Genomic DNA, 21,133 nt, shown 5'->3' on the forward strand with positions numbered 1-21,133 from the left:
AGCTTCTTCAAGGGCTCTCTAAGGCTCTCTGCCTCATCTGGAATCACGATGATAACCCTGAAAACCCCAAACAAGGAGGTTTGAAGTTATGATAAATTAACCGTCTACAGTTTACTCTCTTTGTAACCACTGCATGCCCCAGCGGGCCTGGTAGTCAGCCTTTCATCAGCCCTGTGTGTGCTGCAGCTGAAGCCCCGCCACCTGCCAGCCAGGCAGCCTAGGATGAGCCTCCGTACCTCCATGAGCCTCCGTTTTCTTATCTGTTCAATGGACACGTTCTCCCCTCCCTTACGTAGAAGTTAGGCATGTGCCACAACACAGGACAGTAGGCTCTTCGTGACTGAAGAACCACTGTTAATCATGGTTCCTTTAGGAGGAGCAGAGAGTTCACATACTCGTTTCATTATCAAATACTTTAAAATATGTATTATCAATTAGTATTACTATTTGATAAGGTTTCATTCTGTGGCCGCCATCTCGTGAAGGTGTTCTTGCATAGGGCCACGTTTGAGGGCGTGGGGAGATGCACGCTGGGCCTTCTGGAGCCAGGTGCACAGGTGACACGGACAAGGCCTTGCCTTACCAAGCAGCCTCTGCTGAGTGAGAGTAGTCTAGGTGCCAATAATACAGGTGTTTAAGTATTCATCTAAAATTCATCCTATACAGATTTTCCTTTTGCACACTTACCTGTTTGATAAAAACTCACTAGGTAACTTTCCCTCTACTGAATAGCTCTTTCTGTTGAGCTGTACGTATGTGCAGTGGGCGTTTCCACACCGCCACATCGTGAGACACTGCTTTCCAGAGCCTCCGTTTGGTTGGAAGTCTCTTTCCATGGAAGTGGGCTGCATTGTCTGCACGCATGCATTTGTACAGTACCCATGTGAGACTAAAGTCGCCTACGTTTGAATGCCAGTTTTTTATTCACAAAGCAATTTCTATAATATTAACACACGTGGGTGTCCATTAAAGACCAGTATGCTCCCTGACCTCGTAAATCTTGAACCCTGAACATAGAAGATAAGAAACAAGCAAGCGGATGCCCCAGGTGTCAGCCTGCTGAGGGACATGGAAGGAGAGCTGTAGGGAGAGCCCAGGGCTGAAATTGTGCAGGTCGTTTAAGGATTGATAGAGTTGATCAAGGAAAGCTTCCCAAAGAAAATCAAACTTGAGAAATGCTTAAAGAACCAGATGGATTTTTTTGTGCAAAACAGCAGGAGGAAGTTATTATAAGCATTGGGGCACTTCGGACAAAGACCCAGAGAGGAGGAAAAGGGAAGATGGAATAGCCACGAGCCGCAGTGAAGTGAAAGGTGATAGTTGGGGTGCAGAAAAATGAGGAGAGACCAGAAGAGATGAGTGTTGAGAGCCCAGCACTGCCAAATTAGCATCTGATTTTCAGACTTGGGAGCTGACATTTTACAGAGCAAAGATCCAGAAAGACAGCAGAATGGTGCACAGAAGTCTGATTCCTACAGCTTTATGGGGGTCTTGGTTGATTCCTGTATTTTCTAAGGATTTTTTTTTTTTTTTGAGATGGAGTCTTGCTCTATTGGCAGGCTGGAGTGCAGTGGCGCGACCCCGGCTCACTGCAACCTCCGCCTCCCGGACTCAAGCAGTTCTCCTGCCTCAGGCTCCCGAGTAGCTGGGACTGCAGGCACGCGCCACCGTGCCCGGCTAATTTTTGTATTTTTAGTAGAGACGGGGTTTCACCATGTTGGCCGGGATGGTCTCAATCTCTTGACCTCATGATCTGCCCGCCTTGGCCTCCCAAAGTGCTGGGATTACAGGCATGAGCCACCGCGCCCGGCCTTTCTAAGGATTAATAGTATGTCATACCGGAAATATTTTGAAAAGGGAGACAATAATCGTAATAATAAGAGCTACAGTTTATTGAGGGCTTTATGTAGATAATCTCATTTGATCCTCACAGAGTAGATCCTGTTGTTACCTGCCTTCTACAGGGGCTGCCTTTGGTACAGAAGGATTAAATGTCACTTGCTCAAAGTCACATCCTGTGAGGGGCCAGGATTCAAACTCAGGTGGCCCGATTCAGCTCTCCATCACTGCATGTCAAGGTGTGCCTCCAGGAGCAGCAGCAGCAGCAGCCCCTGGGAACTGCTTAGAAATGTTGATCTCAGGCCCTGTCTCAGTCCCACTGAATCCAGTCCTCAGGGGATGGGACCAGGCAACCTGTGTATAGCAAGCCCTCTGGGATCACATGGCATGCTGAAGCTTGGGAACCACTGCTGTAAGTCCTCACTTCCCAAAGCCTGGTCCACGGACCAAGTGGCATTTGACAGCTCCGGGGATTTGGCTGGTGATGCAGAATTCAGGCTCCACCCAGGCCTGCTGGACGCATCCTTGTCTGTCTGCGCCGAGGGTACCATCCCGGCGTCCCTCTGGTTCGCGTCATTCCCCCCTTTAGTGTGCTGCTTCGTCAAGTGGCCAGACCCCAGCAATGTTTAGTGAACACCAGGGCACAGGATCTGATGGACAACTTCCAGAAAACGTGTTTATGAATGGATTTCAAGACTCAGCCTTGGCATAAACATTCCCTGCAGGGCTTAGAAAATAATCACAGAAGAAACAAACATGATTAAGAGCTTTCTGTCATGCTCTTTCTTCTTAAGTTGCCGGTGATATAAGTCCCCCCTGCCCCCACTTCCTTTTCGAATGTATCTGCCCCCATCCCTAGTCTTTGGTTTGGATTTCAGAGTCGCTTACTCTGTGCTGGCAGCAGGAATGAATGGGGAGAGCCTAAGCAGCTTTGGAATACAGACGCCCGTGTTGGCAAGTGTGCCTTCCCATTGTTGTGCACTCTTACTCTAAAACATAATAATCACGGCAACATTGGGATTCACTGTTTCTCCGCCCCCCGTCCACCCTAAATTAAGACTTTGGCTCTGGAGAACTTTTCAAAGTCTCCTCTCTAGACACACCGGTCCCCCCGGGGTTTCTTCCTTTAAAGCAGCTGTGAGAAACTCCTAATTAGATAGATTCCTTTGTAGGGGCAACCTACAAAACAGGAGGTGCTGCTTAAATTAAGGGAAGAAGAAAAGAATCCATTTCGTGAAATGGAATGCCCACTGCTTTATGACTATTACTGTTGTAAGGTTTCACATTTAAGTACCTGAGGTTTAAAATTAAATGTCTAATATAATTTGGCGTTGCTAACATGAGACCTGCATCTGCCCTTAGAGAAAATGCAGACAGCTCGGTTGAGGGTTTCAAATTGCCGTCTGCCGGCTTGCAAGCCGCACGGAGGATTGGATCCCTCCTCTGCTGAGTACCACATGCTGCTGAGCGTAATTTTTTAAATGCAGAAACATATTCATCTTGAGCCTCTGCATTGAAAAAGGCCGTTCCAGGAGTACATGAAAAATTAATTTTTTTACATTTTTTCCCACTCTTCTAAGTGTTTGACAGAAGTAATTTTTGCAGCAAGAGAGAATAAAAACTGGTGGCTGTAAATTCCTGTCCTGCAACCTCTTGTGTAGATTCTTTATGGACCCAGAATTGATCTACATGTCAGATCCTGTTGTGGTTTAAACTGTTTATCACTGTAATGGCAGTAGTGAGCCCGTGACCACCAACTTATAATCCTGGGTGAAAGAAATTGGTGTTTGCAGTCAATGAAGAGGCAGCTTTGCTTTATTGATAGATTCAGAACAATTATCTCTGCAACAACTATTGGCTGAGGGTTCTCTTGAATCTTATTGGAAGCCTGTAATTTTTTTTGATTAATCATTTCCTCCATAGGTAATTTCCTCTAGAAGCGTTAGCCACGAGTCAGCATCACTGTGGGTAGCAGGGGCCCTGGGGGGTCGTATGTGGCATACTTGGCCGTCCTGTCTTACTTCAAGACAAGATGCACGTTGAGATGCGTCACACCTGTCCTCAGGGCCAGAGTGCTCACCTGCCTGCCTGCCTCCTGAGTACCTGGGTGAGCCTGGCCCGGCCCTCCCCGCTGGCTCCTGCCTGGGCCAGCCTCGTCGGGTGGTCTCAGCTAATGCTGTTGCCATGGCAGCCTCGCTCCCCCAGCCCTGGACTGTCAGGTTCTTCTGATAGCTCCACCCCATCCCCGATTGCTTCAGTCCAACAGTTTATCTTCTGCCACGCTGACTGGCCATCACTGTTAATACTGCATTTCTTCACGTGACTCTTCCATGTGGCTCTTGAGCCTCACTTCCCTCGGCCTCCCCCAGGCCACCACGCAGCCTCGTCACCATCGAGCACAAACACCATGTCCATCTTCCACATGGAAGGAGTGTATCACATGTGTGTGTGTACGGGTGTATGCTCTGGTCCCTGTTTCCTTCTGGCCACGTAATCATTATATCTTTCCAGTAGACTCTGTGGTTATAAAGCAGCCGATCCTCAATGGAAAGCATTTGAGTTTTTGCCAGCTTTTAAATGTCTTTTCTCATTATAAAAATGTTTTGCACGTCGATTTTGATGATGGGGGTTCGAAACATGAGTTTCAGCTTCGGAAGCTGTCTGTCCCACACTTACTTTCGGAGCCAATGCATTTGAACCACACTTTCCAGCAAGCATGTCCACACCATTCATCAATTTTAATCATTATAGTTGGAGCATTTTTTTTCTCTTCTTGGATATTATACTGACAATTTTAGTGTATGACCAGCAGGCGGCGGTAATGTGATACTGCCGGTCTCTGACCTGGAAGCTTCTTTGATGGGAGGGTATCAGTGAAGCGTGGTGGGGAGGAAATACATGTGTTGACAGCCTCCGCTGTTGTGACCTTCATGCCTAACACTCGTTTCCCTGGGGATCATCATCTCTGATAACTGAGCTTCCAAAAGGCTGAGAAACCAAGACCATACTTATCATTATTAGCCAAAATTCAAACCCAGATCTTTCTGATTTCAAAGCTTGTAATCATTCCCCTCTGCTTTTTTTTTTTTAAGGAGAAACGCATGCTTAGTACTAAAACATTGTATCATAAAAATTGTTTGTCTTTTGATAGCGCTTGCTTTTCAAGGAAATATGTTCTAAGATGGATAGACATTTTGTCTTCTCTCACTGATGCTGAAGTTTCCTTTATCAATTCTTCCCAAATCTTGGCTGGCATTCAAAAGCGTTCCCTGGGGGTTGTCATCAACCTTCAGCTTAGCTCAGTGTTAAAGGCCCCTGGGCTCTCATCTCTCAAAGCTGGGCACTCCCTGCCTCACCGCCGGGAGGGCTGCTCGGCTCGCCAGGCTGGCCGGCCTAATTAAAAGGCTGACCCCGCTCCCTTCTGTGCTCGGAGCCTGCTTTCCTGTCTCTGCATGTGGCCGAGGAGCAGGCAGAAGCGTCCTGGGGTAACTGGACACAGGGGGTGAAAGGTGGATTTTTTTTCCTCCCAATCAGAATGTTGTAACTTTGTACTTTGTCTCCTTAGTTCCTTCCTATCAGCTATTTTCAGCAGTAGCTGCTGACCAGGGGAAACAGAGGACAGTGAAATGCTGCCCCATGATCAAAACCGAACAGGGGCAGCACATTTCATTCCCGAAGACCAGAAATCTTCATGTTGTTGCAAGGCAAAAAAAATCTAGAAATGCTTGTAAACAGGGAGTAGAGAAGGATATTGTTGCTAGTTGCTGTAGTGCCCGGACCAGACCTCTTGGCCCTCTGGCCCTCGGCGTGTCTTCACCTATTCCAGGGGCTCGCAGCCAGGGGTGATTTTGTCTCCTTGGGACAGTTCGTGATGTCCGGAGGCATTTTTGGTTGTCACATAGGGGAGGGTGATGCTACTGGAAGCTAGTGGGTAGAAGCCACCAGGGTGCTGCTGAGTGTGCCACGGGGCAGAGACCAGCCCCCCACAGCCAAGAGTTATTCAGCCCAAAACACCAGCGGTGCCACGGTCAGGAAGCCCCGATCTGGACAATGAAAGTTTCGCTTCCTTGGCCCCTTCCAGCTGCGGTTGCTGCGTTGCACAGTAATTCAGTAAGAATCCTTCCCAAAGAAAGGAAAGCCGGTTTCTGGTTTGCAAGAGGGTCACTGCAGCCAACCCAGAGCAGTGCCTGATCCTCAGGGTGCTTTCCACACAGCTTCTCAGAGCATCCGCCTGGCGGCACGGCCGGTTCAGCGGCAGTCCTGCTGCCACCAGCGTAGATGTGATGTAACATTCATGGAACTCACTGCTTGCCAGGCACAGGCCCCCAGGAGATGAGTGCCAGAGCCTTCCCTGCTTCAGATGAGGAGATGAGTGCCAGAGCCTTACCCGCTTCAGATGAGGAAGCAGGGGCAGAAGGCAGTTGGGCCTATCGCAGCAGCAGGTCGGTGGTCAAGGCTAGATTCAAACAGCCTGTGTCATAATTGTCACTAAGCTGTTCTCCTGCCCACCCGACCGCCTCCAAGAACGCTGGGTGCGCAGCGTGTCCCCCTGCTGCGCGTATGAAGACAGGGAGGGTGAGGCCATCAGATGTGTGGATGCCACAAGCTGAGACATAATCTACATTGAAATCTCCAGATTTAGAGACTACAAAATGGGTTGAAACTAACAAATTGAAACAGAGATAAAATCTTGAATTCAGGCTCAACAAACCAACAGTACAGATAATGGAACAGGAGTACCGGACCTGGTGGGGAAGGCTTGGGTGTGGTTTGTCTGCAGAAACGCTGTCAAGACTTACATTCTGCACTAAGAGGACGAGAGAGGTTCTGAATGTCTCACTGGGCTCCGAGGATCCTTTCGGGGGCCACATTTTGAGAAAGACATCGGCACACTGGGAAGCACATGAAGCGGAGGGCCGAGATGGGGAGAGGGGCCTGAAACCCACAACACCTAGCGTGGCTGAAAACCTGGGAGGGCCGGAGGACCCTCTCAGGAAGGCGTCGTCCAATGGCTGCCCATTATATTCTTGGGGGCGATTTTTAAAAATACTTGTTCCTGGGGCCAGCCGCTAGAGATCTAGTCCATTTGGCCTGGGATGGAACCCAAGCAGTGGAATGTCCCCCAGGGGTTTCAGATGCGCAGCCAGGGTTGAGAAGCTCTTTCAGAGGGACCTGAATGATGTGTGTGAATGGTGGTTATAGGACAAAATCTGATCCTGATTCTGTATAAACCCAGAGAATTGAACTGGGAGCAATGGGTAGGATTTGCAGGAAAGACAACTTTGACACCAAGTAGTATGATGCAGTGAGACAGGTCCCAGCGACTGTTTCCAGCCTTCTCCTCTGGCATCTCTGCCTTCCTCTCCCTTGCCTGAAGGCCCTCTGCATCCTTTCCCGATGAAACTGGGGAACGTCCCCACTTCTCTCCCATGCCAAAACCCATGCCTCTCCAGCCTCTGGAGCTTCCATGTATGATCTGTTCCTGCTTGGACATGGGGTAGGGCATCCCTTCCACCTCTGAACTCATCACCTCTCATCTTCCAAGGGACTCTGCTTCCGCGGACACCCTCTCTCCTGTCCCAGCGGTTTCTCCCAGGTATTGGATCACTCCCTTCAGCTTACATACCTGCTCGGCCATCGCTCAGCCCAACACCATGGCCCTCTGCAGTTTCCACCTCTCCTTCTATTCTCCTTCTCACCACACGTTCCAGGACACTCGTCTGTCCTCAGCTACCACCCACATTCTCTTCAACCCTCTCCCATGTGTCATCAGCCCAGCACCCTCCAACACTGCTCTCATCCACTTCAGTCCCAGGAGCACCCCTTGGTTCCCGTGGTAATCTTCATAGTGGGAGACCTGCTGACTCCACATCTTGCTTGAAACCCTCTCTCCTCTGGGCTTCTCTGAAGACACACACAGGTTTTTCCTGCTGCTCTCTGGCTGCCCCCTGTGTCATCCTCCTTTACCAGCAGACCTCAGACGATAGATGTGGCCCAGAACTCAGCTCTCTCCTGTCCTCCCTGCACTCCTCTTGAAATAGGCCTGACCATTCCTCTAGACTCAGAAGATACCCAAATTCACATCCCCAGCCATGACTCCTCTCTCCTCATTGAACGCAGGTAAGCAGCTACCTGCTCGGAGGGGAGTTGGGCGGCTCATGCTCAGCATATTTGAAGAACTCCAGCTTTCATCCAGAGCGTCTGTTTCTCACCCACCTTTTCACCATCTATCCTCCCAGTAGTTCAAAACACACCCAAAGCATCACTTGCACACCCTCCCTCGGCCTCACCTCACAGTCTGTTCATTTGCTTGGTTCCCTCCACTTGACCTCCAAGAATACCAGCTGGGTTTGTCCTGTACCTCCACCTCCTCTGTGTTCCCCTGGTCCTTCTGCTGCGTCGGTCCTAACTCATCTCTGGCCTGTCATTCTTACTTCCCAAAAGTCCTCTCTCTCTGCAGCCAAATTCACCTTTTAAAAAAACAAAACATGAGCCAGATTGCCACTCCCCACACCCACTCCAGTGGCTTCCCACTGCCAGTGGAATAGATTCCCAATTCTTGATTTCTGGCTGACAAGGCCCCAGCTGGTCTGACCCCTGTTTTTTGACCGCCTCTCCATGGCTCCAGCCGGCGGCTTTGCTGAGATCTGGGATGAGTCATCCACCAGATAGTTCAGGCTTCCGCCCAGACGTCAGCTCCAGCGTGTGTACATCACTGCAGACAGCCACTCTCCATCCCATTCTTTGCGGTTACCCAGACTTCTTGTTTTTCTCAGCATGTATTGTGGCCTGACTTACTCTGGACACATTCTTGTTCGACTCCTACCCAGTCACAAGTGGTCATCCTGCCCCTGGCATCTTGAATTGTTTTCCTAGCATCTGTCACTATCTGAAATGATCCTGTTTGCTTATGTGTCTTCTGCAGTAATTCTAACTCCACCACAGAGAGGGGCTTCAGGGTCTTGTCTGTCTCCACTTTCTTGACTACCTGGAGCTGTGTCCATCCCATCATCACAATGTCATTGCACGGTAATATGCTGAGTTAGTGAATGAGCACACTTGGATAGCATCCCCAAATAGGAATAGTCCAAGTGGTGGCAGGGGTGGGGTGGCTTGGTGTATTTCGTTCGATTTGCAAAATGAGCTCCAAGGATTCTGCCAGTTTTATATGATATAATCTTCTGAATTTTTAAGTATCTTAATGCTTTGCATATTGCTTTAGAAACTGGTTCTTAACAGAGAACCAGTGCTGGTGCCCCTTAAGACAGAGCATGTTGGTCACAGTGTATACAGTTTATGGCAGAAAACACTGGCAGCAGTCTCAGCAACAGGTTCTTAAATTAGTATAAGTAGTTAGAGTTGAAACTGGTTTTCCTCCCTCGGATCATCTTAGCCTGTTCCTGAATCATAAGTAAAGTCAGTGGTGTAAATTAATAGGGATTATGTAGATTAGATACATTTCACAACAATTTAATTTCTTATGTAACTTCATTTAGTCCACAAGTATTTATTGACCACTTACTGTGGCCACCCACTGCCCTGGCCCTGGGAGTGGAGCAGGAATCCAAACGGAGTTCCCAGGTCTCTCTAGGTACAAAAGAAGAATCGACGGATAATCACTAAGGAAACAAATTGAAATGTGCTTTGTCAGGTGGTGAAAAGTAAAATGAGGGTGAGCAGGTGCAAGGCATACGTTCGCATTCTGAAGTCAAGTCGTGCATGCATGAGTGTGCGAATTCCTAAGCATGTTTTCAACTGAGACCATCACAGCAATGTATCTGTTCATCATTCATTCCATTCACTTGACAAATATATAACTAGCGCTTTATCGTATGCAGTGGTGTCCCAGGGTACATTGGGAAGTGACCCCAGAGAAGATGGACACATCAGTTGATCCAATCCAATCAAATGCTGCCAAGAACTCAGTAGGCTAAAGGGAGTGTGGGATCCATGCGAAGGGAAGGGTGTGTGCGGCTATGGAGCTTTGTTGTTGGGGGGGTAAGAAGGGCGGACACTGAAGGCGAAGCACAGAGGAAGGAAGGAGCGTTCCAGCCCGGTATGGAAGAGTGAGGAAAAGCATTCTAAAAAGGTTTGCCCGTGATCCTGAGCCAGCAGAATGCCCTGATGGATGTGGCCCAGAACTCAGCTCTCTCCCATCCTCCCTGCACTCCTCTTGAAATAGGCCTGAGCATTCCTCTAGACTCAAGATACCCAAGCTCATATCCCCAGCCATGACTGCTCTCATCATTTCCTAGGGAAGAGAGGAATGTGATTTGAAAAGATCCCTCTTGAGTCAGCCTGGGTTATCATCTGCTGTGTAGACAGCTCATGCCAGGCTGCGTTAATCGAGAGCAGAGTGGGCTCACTGCAGACAACCCGCGATTCCCCTGGTTCCAGGAGTCCAGTAGCCACGGGTAGAGCCGTCACTGAAATTTGCATCTCGTTCTTTGGTTCCTTTCTCATTTGCTTGGCCCAGTTTTTAATCAGGTCACTTCTCATGGGCCTCAAGGCAACAATGTGTCATTAACTTACATTTTAGGCTGGGCGTGGTGGCTCACACCTGTAATCCCAGCACTTTGGGAGGCCGAGACGGGCGGATCACCTGAGGTTGGGAGTTTGAGATCAGCCTGACCAACATGGAGATACCCCGTCTCTGCTAAAAATACAAAAGTAGCCAGGCATGGTGGAACATGCCTGTAATCCCAGCTACTCAGGAGGCTGAGGCAGGAGAATCGCTTGAACCCACAGAGGTTGCAGTGAGCCGAGATCATGCCATTGCACTCCAGCCTGGGTAACAAGAGCGAAACTCTGTCTAAAAAAAAAAAAAATTACATTTTAAAAATTTCCTAGCATACAGAAGTCTAAAATTTTGTAAAATTATTTAGCATTTTATTAATTTTTTAGTCCCCATGTTTGCAGCTGCAAATTTTCAATTTCAGGGGGACTTTTTTAAAGATAGAAAGCATCTTGACTATCCTAGCTTCAAATTAGGAATAGGTAGTACAGTATAAAAAGATTTGTCAATTTGAGACCAACCTGGGCAACATGGAGAGACCCTATCTCTACTAAAAAAAAAATTCATTTAATTAGCTGGGCCTAGTGGTGTGCGTCTATAGTCCCAGCTACCCAAGAGGCACATATATTTGAAGATTTGTCAAATATATGTGCTGCTTCTCCAACTGGAAATAAAACTTTGTGATGTTTTGTGTTCTCAACATTAGAACGTCTGATTTTATAATGTACATTTTGAAGCAATACAGGACTTTTTTTCCACATGACTTTATACAACTCTTGGGACAGGAAAATATTCACTTTGTATTTCTGTGGTTTGCTCAGTTCCACAACCTAGGAACCCAACAGGTTAAGAACCGTCAATCATACTGCCTCCCTGGTGACTTTGTCAACTGTTAGAATAACATTGGTCAAATCTTTTTCATTTCCTCCCTCACTTCCTTTTGTAGATTTTATAAACACATGCAAAAAGGCAAAGACCTAAAGGACTTAATTTTTTTTTTTTTTTTTTTGACACAGAGTTTCACTCGTCACCCAGGCTGGAGTGCAGTGGCACGATCTTGGCTCACTCTGAGGTTCAAGTAATTCTCCTGCCTCAGCCTCCCTAGTAGCTGGGATTACAGCCGCATGCCACTATGCCTGGCTAATTTTTGTATTTTTAGTAGAGACGGGGTTTCGCCATGTTGGCCAGGCTGGTCCCGAACTCCTGACCTAAGGTGATCCACCTGCCTCGGCCTCCCAAAGTGCTGGGATTACAGGCATGAGTCACCATGCCTGGCCACTTAAAATTTTGGGGGGTATCGAGAAGAAAGAAAGGCATGGAAGAAATGAGTGTTGGAGAAGAGTGGTGTTTAAAATGAACAAGTTGTTACAAGATGGTTATAACATGGCTAGGTCGAGAGACAGCCAGAGATGGGTGACAGAGGGTGGGGTGTGGCTGAGCAAGCCCACTGTCCAGCTTCTCCGTTAGGATTTGTATGTTACTTTGGTTTTGCATTCTTAAACTTCTTTCAATGAATATATCATGTTACATCTTGGCTTTATTATGTGACAGATAAGGTTATTAACAGAAAGTGATATTAATATTAATTATACAATGATACTAAAAATTTTATATCACACAGAAGCAGATGGTTATTTTTAATGACTTAAAATTTTACTCTTTTATATGAGAAGAAACATTTTAAACATATTTAGTTATAAATGCTATTTTAATTGCTACATTATTTCTGCAGCGGGATTTTTAAAATCTTACTATAGTTGCAGGGAAATATTTCTATGTATATTTCAGATCCTCTTAAATTATATACTTATTTACAGGAAACAATTATAATTACATTGAGAAAACAGAATGGGGGGCTTCAAATTATCGATAAATACATCACACTATTCTCACACATGATCATTCCATCTGGTCATAGTTCAAGAATTCAGCTCTAGTAGGAGGCTTACTCTCTGAGCATTCATCAAGTTAACAACCTTACCAGTTATCTTTTTAGGTACTCTATTTTTGTAATGTTTGTAGATAAATAGTCCTTTGCTGGATTTTTAAATCATAACTGGGTAAGCATACGACTTAAGAATTATTTCCTATGCAAAATAGAATCAGAAAATTCCATCTACTTACAAATTCTTTATGTACTTCCACATTTTAAGCTTTCCAAGTTGGGAAACTCAACTTCAAACCAGCTGTTGACCCATCCTTTGTTCTATATCAAGCTTTGCATTAATGCAGAAACTGAAATAAGTATCTCCACTCCCCAAAGTGATACATCTGAAGTCATCTGGCTGACTGTGTGTCCAGAGGCACCACGTCAGTGTCTCTTTGCCAGAGCCTTTATGGGGGTGGTACGAGGGGAACTGGAGTCTGGGGGCACGTCAGGCCTTCATCAATCAGAAGGCAGTGGCAGCGACAGCAAGACAGGCGGGTCAGGCCCCCAGATGAGATTTGTGAGGCTGCGGCATCGATTCTGACCACACATTCTGGAAAAATTATCATCCTACACCACCTTCTGAAGCAGTCAAGGTTTGGGTTATTACCTGGACCAGCACCCGGCTTTTACATAGGACCTTCTCCTGGGGGACGGTGGTATCGTTGTAAACCAAAAGGTTATTGATCAAATCTTGCTAATCCAAGTTCCTGACAATTAATTTTTTAAAAAAGAAATTATTTGTCCTTTTAAAGAACTTTTCTCTTTTCCTAAAATTATGTGAAGCTTTTCATTTTTAAAATTCTTTTTTGTTTTTTTGAGACGGAGTCTCGCTCTTTTGCCCAGGCTGGAGTGCAGTGGCGCGATCTCGGCTCAATGCAAGCTCCGTCTCCCAGGTTCCCGCCATTCTCCTGCCTCAGCCTCCTGAGTATCTGGGGCTACAGGTGCCCGCCACCGCGCCCGGCTAATTTTTTGTATTTTTAGTAGAGTTGGGGGGGGGTTCACCGTGTTAGCCAGGATGGTCTCGATCTCCTGACCTCGTGATCCACCCACCTTGGCCTCCCAATAAAATTATTTCATTACAGAAGCATGGTTAACGCGTGCGCTAGCAGAAAAGTCCCACCATTAAATGGAGGCCACAGTGCATGGCTGGAGAACAGCAGGATGTTGGTATCTGTTGCACATGTTTCAGCCTGTTTCTACAAATCTGCCTTTTTCTTCTAACATATGGGTTAACTACCATTTCTCTTTGCTAATTTTACAATAATATCTTTGCATTTTCCCCTAATAAAAAAATTAAATTTTAGAAACATTTAAAATGCAGTTAAGCTTTTTGGTTTCTAAAAAACTCAGTCCTACACAAAGCTCTTAGATTCGGGAGTGGGTACCTGTATGAATCCGTTCTCACACTGCTATAAATAAACACCTGAGACTGGGTAATTTATAAAGAAAAGAGGTTTTGTTGTCTCACTGTTCCACAAGCTGTACAGGAAATGTGATGCTGGCGTCTGCTTGGCTTCCGGGGGGGTGCCTCGGGAAACTTACCATCATGGCAGAAGGCAGAGGGGGAGCCGGCACTTCACATGGCTGGCGGTGGTGGTGGGGGCGATATGGGGGGACTTGCCGCACACTTTTAAGTGACCAGATCTCATGAGACCAACACCAAGAGGGAGCTCTGCCCCCATGATCCAGTCACCTCCCACCAAGCCCCACCGCCAGCATTGGGGATGACAATTCAACATGAGACCTGGGTGGAGACACAGATCCAGGCGGAGACACAGATCCAAATTATGCATTTTTCCCCTAATTAAAAAAAAAAATACATTGTAGAAACATTTAAAATGCAGATAAGCTCTTTGGTTTCTAAAAAACTCAGTCCTACACAAAGCTGTTAATTTTGGGGGTGTATACCCTTCCAGTTTGTGTGTGTGTGGTTATGTGTTTATTCCCCCAAAGTGGATTGGATCATAATAGGCTTTTTTTCCTTTTTTTTTTTTTTTTTTTGAGACAGAGTCTTGTTCTGTCAGCCACGCTGGGGTGCAGTGGTGTGATCTCAGCTCACTGCAGCCTCTTCCTCCCAGGTTCAAGCAATACTCCTGACCTCAGGTGATCCACCTGCCTCGGCCTCCCAAAGAGCTGGGGATTCCAGGCTTGAGCCACTGTGCCCGGCCAGGCCTTTTCCACTTAAACATGTAATATGTCCACTAAAATTTTCCATGTCTTAGAATATTTTCATGTACTTAACAGCATTTAAAAGAAAATAAGTATAAATAGATAAAATTTCGACACTCTCAGTGTGGAAACTAGAAACAATCTCAGTTCAGAAACTAGAAACAATCTCTGTGTCCAGAAGTAGGGGACTGGGGGCCCCTCCAAGGAGAGGCTGGGCAGCCATTCAAGTGCTGCTTTCTATGTAGTAGCTTGGAAAGCTGGCCATTGAAATCGCCAGGCGTCATTGTTCTAAGAACCAGCAGGGAGGCAGCACTGTGTGGTCCCGCCCCTCTGCCCAGCCAGGCATATCCCTGCCACCCCAGTGCCTTTTCACCTGCTGTGCCTGGGAACCCCTCCCCACCCTTGTGTCCACCAAATACCACCTTCACCGTGAGGCCTTTCTGACCCCAGTTTAAACGTGCCCATGTCCTTCTTCCCCACCTTACTTCTGCGTGCCACCAGTCACCTTCTGACAGCCTTTGTCATCTACTCCTTCCTTTCCTTTTTTAAAAATTATATATAGATATTTTACTTAACTGGTTGAAATGTGATTCCTTTTTTCTGGTTTTTATTTTGATTTCAGTAGTTTTTTGGGGAACAAGTGGTTTTTGGTTACATGGATCAGTTCTTTAGCGCTGATTTCTGAGGTTTTGGTGCACCCATCACCCGAGCAGTGTACACTGTACCCAACGTGTAGTCTTTTATCCCTCGCCACCGCCCACCCTTTCACCTGAGTCCCAAAGTCCATTGTATCACTCTTACGCCTTTGCATCCTCATAGCTTAGCTCCCACTTATGAGTCAGAGCATACCATGTTTGGTTTTCCATTCCTGAGTTACTTCACTTAGAATAATGGTCTCCAAATCTGCCCAGGTTGCTGTAAATGCCATTATTTTGTTCCTTTTTATGGCTGACTAGTATTCCATAATTATATATACATATATAACATTTTCTTCGTCCACTCGTTGATTGATGGGCATTTGGGCTGGTTCCGTATTTTTGCAATTGCAAATTATGCTGCTATAAACATGCATGTGCAAGTGTCTTTTTGTATAATGACTTATTTTCCTCTGGGTAGATACCCAGTAGTGGGACTGCTGGATCAATGTTCTGATCTGTCATCTCCCCCCGACCAGAATTTAAGCTTCCTAAAGGGAGGGACTGTCTTGTTTGCCTCTATTCTCAAAGCCTAGAACAGTGTCTCCATCAGTAGGGGCACAGTCAGCCTCTGTTGAGTGAATTTTCCAGGTATCAGGTGGTAGAATGAGCAGTTGAACGTTACTGTTTGCCAGTGTCTAAGCCCTGGATTAAATGCTTTATAGGTACTATTTGTTAAGTCTACGCTGAAGTTCTCTGAGGTGGTACTATTATCCTCATTTTTAAATGATTAAACTGAGTCCTAAATAATTTGAATAACTTGTGCAAGAGTGTGCAGGTGATGAGGATCCAGCGTGCAATGTACGGATCAAAGCCTGAGCGTTGGGCTAGGCCGGCTAGGCCAGGCTCCCTGTGTGCCCACCTGAATGCAGGTGTCCGCATGAAGGCCGTGTGAATGAAGAGGGCAGGGGACTCATGGGAAGGTTTACCTGTTTTACCTGTTCCATTTCAGCTTTTAGTAATGAGGACATACTCATCTAAAAGTGTGCCAGGTTTTCTGGGGTTTTTTTTGTTTGTTTGTTTGTTTTGTCTTAGAGACAGGGTCTCACTGTGTCATCCAGGCTGGAGTGCAGTGGCACGATCTCAGCTCACTGCAGACTCTGCCTCCTGGGCTCAAGGGATCCTCCCACCTCAGCCTCCGGAGAACCTGGGACCACAGGCATGCGCCACCATGCCCAGCTAATTTTTTGTATGTTTGGTAGAAATGGGGGTTTCACCATCGTGCCCTGGCTGGTCTTGAACTCCTGAGCTTCTGTGTTCCCCCCACCTCCATCTCCCAAAGTCTCCTGGCATTATAGACGTGAGCCACTGCGCCTGGCCTAAAAATGTTTTAAATAAAGTTATTTTAAAATACGAATTTCATAACGAGAACACAAATTGAGAGGTGAACATTTGAGAATTTCCATGGCCGCTTTGGCAGTAGGGATGTTTAGTTTGAAACTTTAATTTAAAAAGTGAGTGCAGTGAGTCTGTCTTTGTAGCGCTAGAGATGGGTCCTCAGCTGGCCATGATAGAGAAGGATGGGCAGAGGCGGGTGTTTGAGACTTGGAGGGGACAGTGGGGGCACAGCAGCCAGGCAGAGGCATGTGTCAGGGCAGAGTGAGAATGCTAGGATCCTGGCCCCCATCCTCCCACTTGCCACACAGTCAAGAAAATGACAGGTGTACGGGAAGACCCAATTCAATACAGAGCAGCCAGGTATCAAATCACAGTGCTGCTCTGCAGAGCCTATCCCGTGTCCAGTAAAGCAGACAGCATTCCAGTGTTATCTGGAATTATTTACAAACGCAGTGTCCACAATACGATGAATCACAACTTACAGTTTAGTTAGATTAAGCGAATTATAATTTTTAATAGTCAGTGAATATTTTCACCTGCCTAGATGGGGAGCAAGGCTCTGAATCCTCTCTTGCCCCAGCCCCTTCTCCCTGGGTGAGGCAAGCATGGCATGAGCAGATTGGTTTTTGTAAAGTGCCTGATGTGCAGTCAAATACAGGAAGGCCCCTTCTTTCATACATGCACGTTGAGTTCCCTAAACCCAAAATCCAAAATCCGAAGGGCTCCATTGAGCATTGCCTTTTAGCGTCATGTCGGCACTCAAAAATTTTCAGATTTCAGAACATTTCGGATTTTTGGATTAGGGATACTCAACCTGTAATTTCCATGATAATTTTTTTTCTGGAAACACCTATGAAGTTGAATTGGTAAGAAGTGCTGCCATACCACTTCAAAAGAGGGCGGTGGCCAGGGGGTGCTCTTCCCAAGGAGCTGAAAAATACCATGAAATTCCTGATTATGCCACCTCTCCGCCTGTTCTTCTGCACCGTGTCTCCGGATCATCATCTTAGTCTCTTTCTTCACAACTGAACAGATCTGCTTAAATCCCTCGAACACCCAAGGCTGTGTAGATTTGCCGCTTTGGGCATGCCTAGCGAATTCCATTTTTGTGCTCTTTTGTGCCTCTTTTGCATAGTAAGCTTATGAGCGCCATGCTCTTTTTGCTAATATCAGTTAAAATCTTTCCATTTTCCACTTATCCTCGTAAAACAAAAGCAAAACATGAGTTGGTCCAGCTGCATAAACAGCCTTGGGGCTGAGCTACCCCAGCCACGCCGCACCCCCGAGCACGTGGACCCTGTGCTCGTCTCTGATCACCACAGTACCAAAGGCCAGAGTCACAGCTCATGCAGAATGGAAAGTTCTGCCAGGAAAAATAGACTCCCTCGCCTAGGCAAAAGTATCATGGATCTAGAACTAGAAAACTAACTGGAATTTCGTGGAAGAAACTGCACCTGTTTCTTCCTTTTCTGTAGCCAGCGCTGGGAAGTCTGGGAAGACACCAAAAATAGCAATGAAGCAGCTCCCTGGAGGGTTGCTGGGAGATGCTTGGGCACAGAGAGTGAGGTGTTTGCTGGGAAAAGCCATTTGGGATGGGTGAAGGTCCATGCTGGAGTTGGAGAGCGCAGAAAATGGGGTGAGTGTAAAAGTCTAGCCTGGGTTACGGCCCCAGTGATCCTGGACAAATTTGGAGTAAGAAACTCCCGCCAGTCTCATGGCCAGAGTGCCCAGGGAAAGTCTTCTCTCCCAGTGGTGACTCCGGGTTTCCCTAGCCCAGCACAAGGACTTGGGCTGGTGAGCTACAGAATTGCAAAGAAGAGCAGGAGCCAGCCAGCCAGACCTGGCCATGGCTGTGCCATAGGATATCACAGGGTGTGTGGGCAGGAGCAAATGCCGGGAGTATATGCAAGAGAAAATTATGGCTGGTGGGAACCTGCAGGAGTTGCAGGAGGAGCAAAGGGATGTACTCCTGAGGTTTGGGGGCTGGCAGCGCTGGGAAGGGAGGGAGGGACCCTGATTCTGGATGAGAGGTGGGTGGATAGTCACTGACGATTTTAACCTCACCCCAGGGGATGAAGGCTGCTGTAGGGAAGAATGACCAGAGCTTTCTCTGCTGAATAGCCAGCCAGCCAGGATTCTGCTTCCTGCCGCATCCACCCCTGACCCTTCCAGCAGCCACAGGAGGTCAGGGTTTTGCTTAAAGAAAGAGAGGAAAATGTCAATTATTACATTTTGGAGCACAATCTTACCTTTCAGTTTATTTTAAAGCAATTTTCCCTAAAGATCAACCACAGTATGTGACTGAACTGTATTAACGAAATTTTAGCTTGATAAAGGAAATGCTTTAAACTCACAGCAAATGTAACTCGGGATCTCCAAGCACTTTTTTTTTTTTTTTTTTTTTTTTTTTTTTTTGGCTGGACAGCCCAAATTCCAAGACACTAGTAAAAATAATATGATAAAACTTTGGTGGTGCAAACAAAGTCAGTTCTTTTTTACAAAAAGAATATTCTAATAGTATCTAATAGTAATGGTGAATTACTCATAGTTTTCTGCTGGAAGTAAATTTAATTCTAGTTTTTAAATATCATTAATTCTGGAGGTTGCACTCTGAATGATTTCTTATTTTGTGGAAAATACGAAATAAAGAAGACACATTTGGCCACTGTGATGGAGCTGCTTTGAAAGGCTGTGCTTTAGAAGACACTTCCGACTTTGATCTGCAGTTGCGGATGAAGATGCTCACGAGTGGAGGTGTTGGTGGAGATAGTTATCCCAAGTAGAATACTCGATCGATGTCCACAGCACATTCAAATTATCTTTCATGTTACAAACTTTTCCAGCAGTTACCAGCCCCAGGTACGATTATGGACAATGCTGTCAGTCATCGTGAGACAGAGTAGCATGGAACTGAAAAATGTGTAGCAGGTTTTCAAACCTCTTACTTGCCCAAAGCTTAGTCAAAATTATGAGATTTCCTCTGAACTTTGTTCTTCTCGTTATTTTTGGAATGATTGCAGGGTTGGTTTAAGATTGCCATGACCACATATTAATAGTTGCACTGAGAAACAGGCGTAAACAGAGGTTGTCCCGGGAAAGGCAGAATGAATGTCACCCACCCTGGGGAAGGTGGCTCGTGTCACTACCCTTTGCTACAGCTGTTGTTTCTCACTGATTCATTCTCGGGAATCGCTTGTTGTCTGTTGGTACAAAATAAACATTTCCTCCTATCCTGGATGACTGGAGCCTTGGGCTGCAGATGAGTTACACCACACCAGTCTCCCAGTCCCATCACACACAGGCAGTTTTTACACCAGCCAAACTTAGAGCTTCATAAATGCAGGAAACTGTCAGGTTCCTTTCAAGAGGAAGTCTTAGCTACAGATTTTTGGTGGAAACAAATGGTCCACCCTGATCTACTCATTTACCATCTGGTTTGGGGAACCTTCTGTCATCCTACCTGCTATGTATTTGTGACCTGATATATTATTTTTAAATACAGTTGTTTAATAGTGTAGTCAAAAATGAAAGGTCATAAGCCTCATCTTCTCATTAACACCACACCAGATTGATTCCAGTATTCAGTGCACAGATAACCTCATGTTTCAGCTTCCTTATTGACGTGAATGTGCTGAGCAGAGCTCACCTGCCTCTTGTCAGAGACATGAATGGGCTGATAATATCTAGTTTTCAAGCAGAGGAAGTTAGAGGTGAACCGCAGCCTCAGAATCTACATAAAATATGCAGCACAGTCATTAGTCATTTGCAGTGGCCCAGCAAAATCCTAAAACAGCAGGAGAGAAAAATATTTTCTTTTCAGTGTCTGTCAAAGAAGTTATAACATAGGTTTTAAAAAAAAAAATTTCATCAGCCAAATCCTTAAAATTTAAATATGCAGACTTTTTTCCTGTATTTTTATCAAAAATGTTTATACTGTTAAAAGGTTATCCAGGTACCAGATAGGTGCCCCAGGCAGCTCATGATGCAAATGTAGACAAATATATGTTGAGTGCCCCTGTGTCTGTAAGTCAGTCTGTATCAGTATAGAATTAGGATTGGATTAGTGTGAAGTGTTTGCACTGTAAATTTTATCTGTGTTTTTTTTTAAAAAAAACTGGAAATATTCTGTTTTGTTCCACTACTATTTCCCCAGGGCCTTAAACAGTGCCTCCCCCTGAGTGGCCCTGGGTAGTTGTTGATCATATCTGTAAATATCTGGAGTTTCCGCACACACAGACTTCGAGTGTGCCATCAAGATGGTGTCCCTCGGTGCTGAGCCTCACCATCCTGGTGGTCCTGAGCAGTTGCATCCCCTCCTTCAGCTCAGCCCCAGGGCCTTCTGTTCAGGGTCACTGTGGATAAATTACCAGTGGAACCCAAGCCCTCAAAGCTGCCCTATGGGCTGGGCGGCTCCAAGAGCCAGAGTATTGCTCTGTGACCTCCAGCCGGTTGACTGGGGCAATTGTTAGAGCCAGGTGTGGCGGAAGGACCCATACAGCCTCTTTCAAGTGGCTGGGCCTTCTGTACGAGGCACCTGACACCACGATGCTATCACCATCCTCGCTGACTGGGACATGCCACCCACCTCCAATAAAGGCTTGGGAGTCGCAAGGATCCCTTTTCATAATGAAACTTCCTGTCCACAGT

General features: G+C 46.3%; 1 protein-coding gene across 4 annotated transcripts in view, besides 3 other annotated features; it reads left to right on the top strand.

The window, feature by feature from the left end:
* AGAP1 (ArfGAP with GTPase domain, ankyrin repeat and PH domain 1) overlaps window positions 1-21,133 on the top strand; it is a 637,751-nt gene that overhangs the window by 437,976 nt on the left and 178,642 nt on the right. The window lies entirely within an intron of this gene.
* Window positions 1,878-2,378: an enhancer, noted in NCBI's record as "H3K4me1 hESC enhancer chr2:236842540-236843040 (GRCh37/hg19 assembly coordinates)". NCBI's record gives its function as "activates a minimal SCP1, AML or CMV promoter by ChIP-STARR-seq in naive H9 embryonic stem cells {active_cell/tissue: H9 hESC(naive)}" and the evidence as "EXISTENCE:reporter gene assay evidence [ECO:0000049][PMID:30033119]".
* Window positions 2,379-2,879: an enhancer, noted in NCBI's record as "H3K4me1 hESC enhancer chr2:236843041-236843541 (GRCh37/hg19 assembly coordinates)". NCBI's record gives its function as "activates a minimal SCP1, AML or CMV promoter by ChIP-STARR-seq in naive H9 embryonic stem cells {active_cell/tissue: H9 hESC(naive)}" and the evidence as "EXISTENCE:reporter gene assay evidence [ECO:0000049][PMID:30033119]".
* Window positions 18,357-18,856: an enhancer, noted in NCBI's record as "H3K4me1 hESC enhancer chr2:236859019-236859518 (GRCh37/hg19 assembly coordinates)". NCBI's record gives its function as "activates a minimal SCP1, AML or CMV promoter by ChIP-STARR-seq in naive H9 embryonic stem cells {active_cell/tissue: H9 hESC(naive)}" and the evidence as "EXISTENCE:reporter gene assay evidence [ECO:0000049][PMID:30033119]".

The sequence above is a fragment of the Homo sapiens genome, chromosome 2, assembly GCF_000001405.40.
Source record: "Homo sapiens chromosome 2, GRCh38.p14 Primary Assembly".
NCBI lineage: Eukaryota > Metazoa > Chordata > Mammalia > Primates > Hominidae > Homo > Homo sapiens.